Source organism: Homo sapiens, chromosome 4, assembly GCF_000001405.40.
Source record: "Homo sapiens chromosome 4, GRCh38.p14 Primary Assembly".
NCBI classification, from domain to species: Eukaryota; Metazoa; Chordata; class Mammalia; order Primates; family Hominidae; genus Homo; species Homo sapiens.
The window spans coordinates 182,918,044-182,928,480 of NC_000004.12; the positions used below are offsets into that span (position 1 = coordinate 182,918,044).

Consider the following 10,437-nt stretch of genomic DNA (forward strand, 5'->3'; position numbering starts at 1 on the left):
CTGACAGGCTTTCAGTTTCTGCTCAAATTGTGCGGAAGGGCCTGAGGTGTTTGCTAAAGCCTGCCGCGCCCTGCTCGACCCGTATCACCGCACAGGCACCCCACCTGCATGTTACCTCCTGGTAATGCTCGCCCACTTATATAGTGCACATTTTGTTGCAGTTGTTTCAAAGATGAGAAAAACAGGGCAATAGGAAAGACCATCAGTGACATTTCTGGAGTCGTATGCCCCAAGCAACTTAATCTGGTTTTCATGAACTTCGTTACCCTGTGCAGACGTCTAGCCCCTTACAGTGGTTCTAGCACAGAGAATGACAGAAGAACCCCTTTCTGTTTCATTCATGGGACTTGAGGGGACTGTCAGCACTCCATAAATAACAGCTACTGTAATAATCGCCAGTTCTGATCTGCACATCCCAGATTTGAACTGCTATTCCAAACAAAAGCTTGTTAACTATATTAATTTAGCCTAACGGAGGAAGAATGATGAGAGTAAACAGTTGGTTCTATCTAATTTCTCACTACAGCAGACACATCATTCTTCATCTCATGGTCCAGCTTGTAGATTCAATAATTAAATTATGTACTGCTCTTGGTGGATGCCGGGAAAGCAAAAGGGAGAAATACTTCATCGTTAACTATAGATTTTTTTTTTTTTTTTTTTGCCTTGATAAGACTCAGGCTTGAAAGAGCCACATAGATTAAGATGATGATTTTTAATTTCAAGTTGACTTTACATGGCTGTCTTGTTGCCGCTAAAATGTGTCATATATCCCGAGCCCCTGGTTTCCCTCCTCCTCCCAAATCCACCGCTTGGTCTTTGTCACACTCATCTACAGTCTTTGGGTCTTCATAGATCCATTTCTCTTCTTACCAACCTACAACCCATACATCACCAATTGCTGCTGCTCCTTCAACCACAACATCATTAAGCTTTCTTCCTTCCTCTGCTCGGTAAAGACTGTCATACATAATTTAGTTACTTCTCATCACTCTCCATTTTGGTCAACTCACACACTCCCCTCTGCCATAAATTCAAGCTCCTGCTTGCTGAAAACACATTACCCTGAATGTTCCCGCATTTCACTGAAAGTCCCTCATCTTAAAGATGACATCATTCATAATACAGGAAACCCTCCTGGTTCAGAGTTTCACAACTTGAGGTTTCAAATATTGTACACCAATAGTGAAGCCACGCGGCCAAAGGGGGGAGAAATATATTCCTTGGTATGTCTTTCTCATTAACACCTTGTAACTCCAAGTGTGACTGTAGGTGTTAAATCTCTCTTGCTAATACCTTGTATTTGGGCTTATAATTGAGGATCTTTCTCCACCTACTACAGATACAGAGGTTAGGTATGTGTTCAGCCCTATCTAGATTGGCCTTCCTTGAGGGCCTCACACAGGTTGAACCCAATCAGCACATTCCTAAGGACTACTGTCTTGGCCCTTTTGTTTATGGGGTTTCGTGCTATCTATGTCTAGTCTAGAGCATAACCTGGAATATATTAATATTTCAGTGTGCCTTAGGTAGGGGATCCCGATTAAAAACAGAAGTCAAGGTAAGACTCTTCCAGGGCTGCCTCAGAAGAGGGGTTGATGGCATTTGCAAATGTCTGCCGTACCGAGATACTACCTGCCCCTCCTTCCACCTCCTCTGCCTGCCAAGGTAAGGATGAGACCTGTGACTGGGGAAACAGAGGCAAGGAGTCAGGAAGGTGGCCAATCTGTCCATCAAGTTTGTCATGAGAGAAAGAGCACCGGCCTTGGAGTCAGACCAGACTTTGAACCCTACTCCCACTTCTTACAACCCGAGTAACCTTGAGAAGCTACTTCCATTCTTGGAGTCTCTGTAAAATCAACAATATTCATTTTTTATTAATTCCCTGCTATGTGCTAAGTGCTGTAAATACCATGATGGATACTATAAGCCAGTTCTTGCCCTCACATTCCCCTCTCCGCAAATAAACACAGAAAAAAATGAACCTTATTGCTGGCCCAGTGAACATAGTAAATGTTGTTATAAACTGCCTGTTGTTCTTAATTTGGTGGTTGTCAGTCAGGACCAAAAACTCCTTTGCATAACAACTGCACTTAGAGGCAAAGTGCCACTTTGACTGGTTTTCAAAGGAATAATTGTTTATGTTTCCATGCTAAAGTGCAAACTAGAGAAAACTCTTTTTAAATCTTAAGTAAGGGATGACTGTAAGTCTGCTAAACCACAAAAAAGTCACAATGAAAATTCTAGAAAAAAATAAATATGTGGTCTTATCAATACAGTACAGGTTGAGCATCCCTAACCTGAAAATTCAAAATCCAAAATGCTCTAAGATCTGAAACTTTTTGAGTGCTGACACTCCCACAAGTGGGAAATTCACACCTGACCTCATGTGATAGGTGCACAAAATTATGAAAAATATCCTGTCAAACTACTTCCAGGCTATGTATGTAAGGTGTATATTAAACATAAATATATATTGTGTTTAGATTTGGGTCCCATCCCCAGGACACCTCATTACATATATGCACATATTCCCAAATCTGAAAAAATCCAAAACCTGAAACACTTCTGGTCCTAAGCATTTTGGAGAAGGGATATTCAACCTGTATATACATTTTCGTATGTATGTTAGAGCATGAGGTCAGTTGTTTGTGTTCCATGAAGGGCATACAGACTGCAAATTGACATGACAGAGCACTCCTATCAGAAAAAAAATCAGGATCCCTAAACAGCGTTTTTGTTATGAGTTGAAGCCACCAATTACTTTGTCATTATACATCTTCAAAATTACAATGAAGGGCCGGGTTTGTTGTAATGAACTCACTCCTGTAATCCCAGCAAAGTGGCAGGCCAAGGTGGGAGGATCGCTTGAGCCCAGGAATTTGAGACCAGCCTGGGCTATGCAAGACCCAGTCTCTGCAAAAAAAAAAAAAAAAAAAAGTTTTAAATGAGCCAAGCATGGTGGTGCATGCCTGTAGTCCCAGCTGCTCAGGAGGCTGAGGAGGGAAGATTGCTCGAGCCTAGAAGGTTGAGGCTGTAGTGAGCTGTGACTGCACCACTGCACTCCAGCTTGAGTGACAGAGGGAGACCCCATCTCAAAAAAAAAAAAATCTTTTTTTTCAATGAAGATCAATAAGGAAATGTTAACATGGCATATGCACAAAGCTGGGTGTTTTGCCGTTTTTTATTAATAAATATTTGTTGACTAAATAAATGAGTTAATAGAAAATCATTGTTCTATGCCAAATTGTTTGGAGCATCTAACTCATAGAGAGAAGTCTTTGTCTGTGAACTCTGGTTCTACTTCCCTATCCGCCTCCTTTTTCTCCTTGCAATTCATAGACCTGGAGAGACATTTGATAAGTGAGACATTGGGGCTGGTGGGTCAGGGAAACAAGAGTGAACAGTATCATTTTAAGGAGGCATGGATCTCAGTCCTAGGATTTGGGGCTTGGCCTGAAAATGACCATCTCTCGTACAGCAGAGCTGAAGGCGGAGGGGAAGGCTGTCTCCTCTTTCCTGGTGTGATGCCTCTCCCCATGACTTCTTTGCTTCTACAGAGCTGAACTTGTAGCCTCTTTCATACACAACTGGTTGAAGTGGATGGAAATTACATGTCTTATTGCTTCTTAAAAGAAAAAAAAACATATTAAATCTAAAAGAAATGGGCAATTTTCTCGTACCACTTTCTATTTCTGTGTAAGTTACCAAGTGCCAATCATTCTTACTTTTTAAAATTCACATTTGTCAAGCAGCATGTAAGCTTTCAGTGTTGTACAAGAAAAGATAATGCTTCATGTGGAACAGTCACTTACGCTATTCTGTGAAAGTGCCTAACCTGAAGAGAATGTATCAGATTGTTGGCTTTATAGAAATGTTAATGATTTCATTAAATTACACCCTCTACGCTGGGGTCACCAAGGAACCTCCTAAAGGGTAATCAACAAGGTATTACGGTTCTGGATATAGAATTCTTTATTGACATCAGAGTCACCACTCATTTTGCAGTGTGTATTTTAACTGGTGTAGCAAGGTGAATGCCTAAGAACCATTGTAAATGAAAGTCCCTGTGAAATTGTAGTTGGGAGCTAATGGCCATCATAACCTGCCTGACGTGTTGCGCCTTCCCTCAGCTAACTGGAAAGCTCACTGGGTGTGAACCTCTGAAAGGAGAAGGCGCGAATCAAATTAACATTTTAGTATTGTGGCACACCATGTATGTGTATATTGAAGATAACACCTGTGATCCTACCACAACAACAATCTGTTGTTAATGCCATGAGGGAAAAAGTCATCTTCCACAGTCAGGAGCAAACAAAATAAGGGAGGAACCCTATCCTATGTGAATGACTGTTGACACTGTTCACAGTAAGCAATTCAAAGCTTTGATTCAAGAGCTGACAGAGAGCAACAAGGCAGTACCGAGGCCAGAGTTCTCCAAAGGCCCCATTTCTGATGAACCTCTGTCTGCTGCAGTGTTTGATAGACAACTTGAAGTGATACAAGGTAGGGAGCTCTCAGCCATGAAGCATGATCCTAGTAATGCTATCTTCAAATTAGCCCTGGATTGAGTTAAATATCAACCAAAGGGAGTGGAACGGCCCTCATGAAATCATCCCTAAGAGAATGAGAGAGATCTAATAGTGTGGTGGTTACAGTAACCACTAACCTGCAAGAAAAATCGATATCTACACTGTGTTAGAATCACACCAAGGGCTCCTGGAGCCGAGCCATTTCAGTGAAGAATAAACCAGGATTCATTAGAGTAGAAAGTCAGAATGTGGTAGGAGGTCAAACATAAATACACCCCGGGCTGTTTCGTCTGCAAACCCAAGAAGATGGTCTTCTTTCAGGATCCGAGCATTTTTTAAAAGCATGGAATTTACAGAGCTGGGAAGTGACCTTAGCAATCATTGAGTCCAGCCCCTTCTTTTTACAGATGAGGAAATAGTGGCCCAGAAAGATGACTTGGCTCGCTCCCATTCACACGGCTGCTCTGGTGAGATTTCCTCATGCCACACTGCTCATGTCCAGCTTTGCAGTCCATGAATCAAAACACAACTGTTTATTGAGCCTCTCTGTGGAAGGCACTCTGCCAAGCTTTCGAGGGGCGTAAAGAAAGCCGCATCAGTCTTCTCCCTCTCTTTGCCGGAGAGAAGATCAAACTACATAATAGGTTACCCAAGATTCAGTGGTTAAGTGGCGATGTAAGACAACAATAAAAGAGAGCTGTCCCAAAGCAGAATATGATTGTGTGTGTGTGTGTGTGTGTGTGTGTGTGTGTGTGTCTTCTACCTAAAAAAGCCCCTTCTTCCCACCTAGGAAGTAGGTTATAAAGGCAGGGGTTTTCCTGTTCCCTTTATTATTACTTCCACTTAGCACAATATTCAGTTGTGTTTATACCCCAGTTTCTGTTTTGGAAGGAGTGCGAGATACACTCGCTGCAAGGAATGGGAGCCTGCATATGGAGCGAGAGCTCAGGCAGAATTACTAGCATCGCAGCCTTAAGTATGAGAGGTTGCCCTAACCGGAGCCTTGCACTAGCTAGGGAGAAGACTCCATCTGTATTGGTTTCTGGAACAAAGCCCAGACAAGGCAGAGTCAGTGCCATTTCTTTGCATTCACTAAATATTAAATGTTCATATGTCCTTAACAAAATTGTAGCCCCCAAGAACCATGGAATTTCAGTCAAAGAAACATGCATACATGCACATGTAGATAATCTTTCTGCTTTGTACTATTCGACCCGTGTTGAAATCCCAGGGATAACATTGCCTTTCAGATAAAGTTTGACCATCATATTACCCACACACAAAAAAGCATCACATGAAATAAAGAAACAGGAGCATGTGGTACACCCTCCAGGACTGGAGAAGAAGGTGGCTTGGTCTGGGTTAGAGACTGATAGCTAAAAACTAAGTCTGGCTGCTGAAAACTAGCCATATCTACTCAATAATGCACATGTCCCCATGGAAACTCCTTATCTTGCCTTCCACTCCGTTAAGTTTTCATATTCATGGCTCCCTGTGAAACCTAGAGAAGTATATTTCTTGAAAGTCTTGGTTAGTAGCCTGTTCACTTCCTTGCTATTCTCATGGCAAAGTACCAACGACGTGTGTCGGCAAAGAGCGAGATAGTGAGTTTACATTTTAGAGTGTAATTTCCTTATGAAGCCATCCGTTTTGTTTGTAACAGTCTGACCGTTCTAACCAGCTTCTAGGAGCCAGGCGCCAGGACAGAGGAAAAGAACTTCATTTTATTAAAATGGTGGCAAATTCGATTAGCGATTTCAGTGGCACATTAAGCAGGTTATTATTAGACAGAACTGACATTTCACATGCAGGCATATTCTTTACTTGAAAGTCAAGTGTCATTCAAAAGAGGGAGAAATTATTTAGGATTTTTGAAAACCTCAAAGAAATCCCCTGAAAACCTCTCCTTATAAATGCCTCCACCTGTTGAGGAGTCAGGGCTAGAACTGATGACTTTGATTTCTCCTTGATGCAAACAATGATACCAGAATGGAATGGCTCTGGGGAGTGCTCATAAGCAGTGGTCAGGAAAGTGGATTCTCCTTCTACATCCGTAGCTGGACCCCAGTGCTGACGGGCCTCGCCGAAGGGCGGTGTGATTCATTCACAGGGCACACCACAGAGAACTGCCCCTTCCTCCATCCAAACAGAATCATCCTCCTGCTGTATATACAGATATTGCAGCAGTCACTGAGATACTTGAAGAGTTTTTCACTGCGTCTGCCTTTGGAGGTACACATTTGGCTCGGCAGAAGCTAAACATTTTTAAGAGCACAGTAAGAAATAGGCCAGAAAACATGAAAGCTTTATAGCTTTTTAGAAAACTTGATGGTCTTGCTGGTACAGCTCCCTATGATATGGTTCAGTTGTAATAGCAATGGAAAGTGTATCAGTGCAAGCTGCTGATGAAACATCAGAAAATGTAGCCAAGGGTCTTTTAAACACATTCAAGAACTGTTCTTTTGAACTGTGCCTCTTAGCCTTGGAAAACCTCTTCAAGATTTTAAACAGGGCCCCTGGATGAACTATAGAGTGAGAACCTGAAATTATCTTGTGCACTGGAATCAATATCAAGCAATATTTTCTCTTTGAGAGAAATTCAATCTGACAGAAGGGAGTAGGAGCAATAAGGAAACTGGGACCCTGGCTGAAATGCTTGCCTGAGAAACACGCGGCAAAGCAGTACAAATTAGGTGATGTCACTAAAGTCAGAAAACCATAGTGACAGAATAAAATGTTATCTGAGCTTCAGAATACTTCATTATCACTACCACAGGTCACTAAGCTTCACAAAATGCATCCATCAGCCTTGATAGCCATTTGGAGGCCGCCGCTGGTAGCTAGATGGCGCAGCAGCGGAACACAGCCCCTCCACCTCAGGAGACCAGGGTGCAGCAGAGGCCTGGGCGCACAGAGCAAAGTTTGTTAGTCTCAAAGTGCTCTCTAGTGGCCATATGAACATAAAATTATCTGAAGCAGGGAGTCACTTGGGGAGAGGATTTAGAATTAAAGGGCTGTTGCCGAGCCTGTAATCCCAGCTATTCCAGAGGCCGAAGAGAGAGGATTGCTTGAGCCCAGGAGTTCGAGACCAGCCTGGGCAACACAGCGAGACCCTACCTCTAAAAAGTTCAATTTTTTTTTTAAAGATTAATTTTGGAAAGCAAGGTAGAGTCGCTTTCCACTGCAATCTACATCTCCTGGATCTGGGGGAACAGTTTATGAGCAACTTGCCTTTCCCAACTATTGTGCTGCTACCCATAAAACACTTATAAATTATTAAACTCAGCTGTGTGATTTCTAGACTGGATATTAGAGGTTTCTCAAATTCATGGGGAAGCATTTAGGTTTAAATTCATCCTTGCAGATTTCTAGGAGTTTCATTCATGAAGGGTATTTCTGAGTAGACGGTGAGGTACATTTATCCTGTCCATCTGTGTGACATGCAGAAGCTCTGTGCTGTGATCCAAAGCCACCTTGGCTGTAAATGTAACTGTTTAGGGAATGTGATAAGAGCCAGCTGCTAAGCTTGGTGGGAGGAAATCATTTCTGAAGCACCCACATATTCCAGGTACAGTCTCTTATTTTATCACTAGTATTCATTCAATCCTCACAAAAACCTTCTGGTGTAGGAATCATTATCTCTCTTTTTTTTCTTTTGGCCCCCAGATAAGGCAGGGGTTTACAAACTTTACATGTAAAGGACCAGAGAGTAACGATTTTAGGCTTCGAGGGTCACACGGTCTCTGCGTCTCTGCAGTGTGTGTGCATCTACTCAATTCTGCTGTTGTAAAGAGCTGTCAAGGACATCAACAAATGAGAGTGGCTATAGCCAACCAAACTTTATTTATGGACTCTGAAATGTGAATTTCGTCTAATTTTCACATGCCTCAAAATATTGTTCTTTTCTTGGTTTCATTTCAACCATTTAACAATGTAAAAACCATCCTTCCCTCAAGGGCCATGCAAACATGGGCAGGGAGGCCGTGCAAACACAGTGGCCTGTGCCAGCCAAGGCAACAGTTAGTTGTCAAGTTTGCCGAGTCCTGTGATGAGGAACCAGAATCCCAGTTTGCAAGTCAGTACGTGGTGGCCTCAGTAGTCCAAACAGCTGACTGTGGCCCAGGTTGAACTGGGAGTCATCGGTGGACATCAGCCCTCCTCCTGCTATCCACCCTATGGTAATGCTTTTTTTTTTTTTTTTTTAGAAAAAGAAAATTTAATGTGTACTTCTCTAGGAAGAGCCAAGCAAAGACAAAGAAAGACAGAAAACAGCACTGTGGGAAACCAATCTGGCACTAAGGAATATGTACAGTGGTGCCAGGAAGACTACTATTTAGGACTTTATAAAGACTTCTGAATCAGATGGAAGGCACAGGTCCCAAATTCACAGGGCTTCCTATCATTTAGGAAATCCATTAGAAATTCATGGAAACACAAATTTAAAAGCTTGCAGGCATATATCCAATCACATTCAGCAATAGGGAAATACATATAATAAGAATTGCTTCTAGGACCGGGTCTCCAATCCCCAGCTAATTTTTTGTATTTTTTTAAGTACAGACAGGGTTTCACATGTTGCCCAGGCTAGTCTTGAACTCCTAGGCTCCCGCGATCCACACACCTTGGCCTCCCAAAGTGCTGGGACCACAGGCATGAGCCACCACACCCGCCTTATTTCTCTAGAATTTAGAACAATTTCTACAATGAGCTCTTAGGCTATTTAGCAAAAGAAACACAGACTTGTTCAGGAGGATGGAGCCCTCACTAATGGGGTTCATTGCCGAGATCGTGCCACTGCATTCCAGCCTGGGTGACAGAGCAAGGCTCCGTCTACAAAAAAAAAAGAACTTTTCTTTTTCATTGAGAGAATGGGAAAGGTAAGTTATAGCAAAGAAAGAGCATATTATGGAAATGATAAAAGACATCTTCAGTATATATAAAGAATTCCTACAAATCAATAAGAAACAGTCCTACAGAAAAGTTTGCAAGATACTTGACAAACTTGACTTTACAAAAGAGGGCACAAAATGGCTGATAAACGTGTTTGAAATGTGCTCAGAGTCATTGGTCATCAGGAAAAGAAAATTAAAACTACAATGATATATCACTATCCTTATCAGATTGGCTAGAATGCCTAGAATTTAAGACTGAAGACATCAAGAGCTGATGTGAATGAGTAGGAGCTGACAAGTCTACTACACTCCTAGTGGGAGTACACATTGGCAGAATCTCTTTGGACAACTGGCCTGATCTAGTGAAGTTTAATATATGCATCCTCTGCGACCCATCCTCCATTTCTAGACATAGGCCCACAGAAACGTGCACACATGCGCACCAAGAAACGTCTTTCTATTATTGTTCATCATAGTCAAGAAACTGAGACAACCCAAATGTTCATCAACAATAAAGTGATAAATTATGGTGTATTAATACAACAGAATACTATTTAGCAATAAAAATAAGTGAACTTCTGGTACATGTCACATGGATGAATCTCACAAAGATCATACTGAGCTAGGGACACTGTGCCAGGTATTTAACTGTTGTCTTCCTGCTTCAAGCCCATCCTTTTATTCTCTGCTTGGCAATGCTGAGACTAGGACTCTGCAAAGCACATTTCTGCTTTTCTAGCTGTCTCTCTGCTAGGTTCTACCAATAGGGGGCACCAGAGGGAGGCCTCAAGGCTGTGAGGAAGACGTGACTGGCTCCTTCCTGGAGCATGGGTTGTTTTCCGTTTTTCCTCCATCACACACACAAAGAAAGCATCATTGCATCCCCTTGGAGGTCTGGGCTCTGACTCCGCAGCATCCCTCCTCTTGCTGTTCTCAATTTTAATAGTTCCAGCTTCTTTCCTTTGTCTCCCCAGTCCTAGAGGTGGTAATTGCACCCTGACATTGCTACCTAC

The 10,437-nt window shown here is 42.3% G+C and overlaps 2 annotated features.

The window, feature by feature from the left end:
- Positions 1,258–1,307: an enhancer, noted in NCBI's record as "active region_22178". NCBI's record gives its function as "activates an Ori minimal core promoter by ATAC-STARR-seq in GM12878 lymphoblastoid cells {active_cell/tissue: GM12878}" and the evidence as "EXISTENCE:reporter gene assay evidence [ECO:0000049][PMID:35858748]".
- Positions 7,320–7,522: a silencer, noted in NCBI's record as "fragment chr4:183846516-183846718 (GRCh37/hg19 assembly coordinates)". NCBI's record gives its function as "represses an EF-1alpha promoter that drives an FKBP-Casp9 reporter gene in an ReSE screen in K562 erythroleukemia cells {active_cell/tissue: K562}" and the evidence as "EXISTENCE:reporter gene assay evidence [ECO:0000049][PMID:32094911]".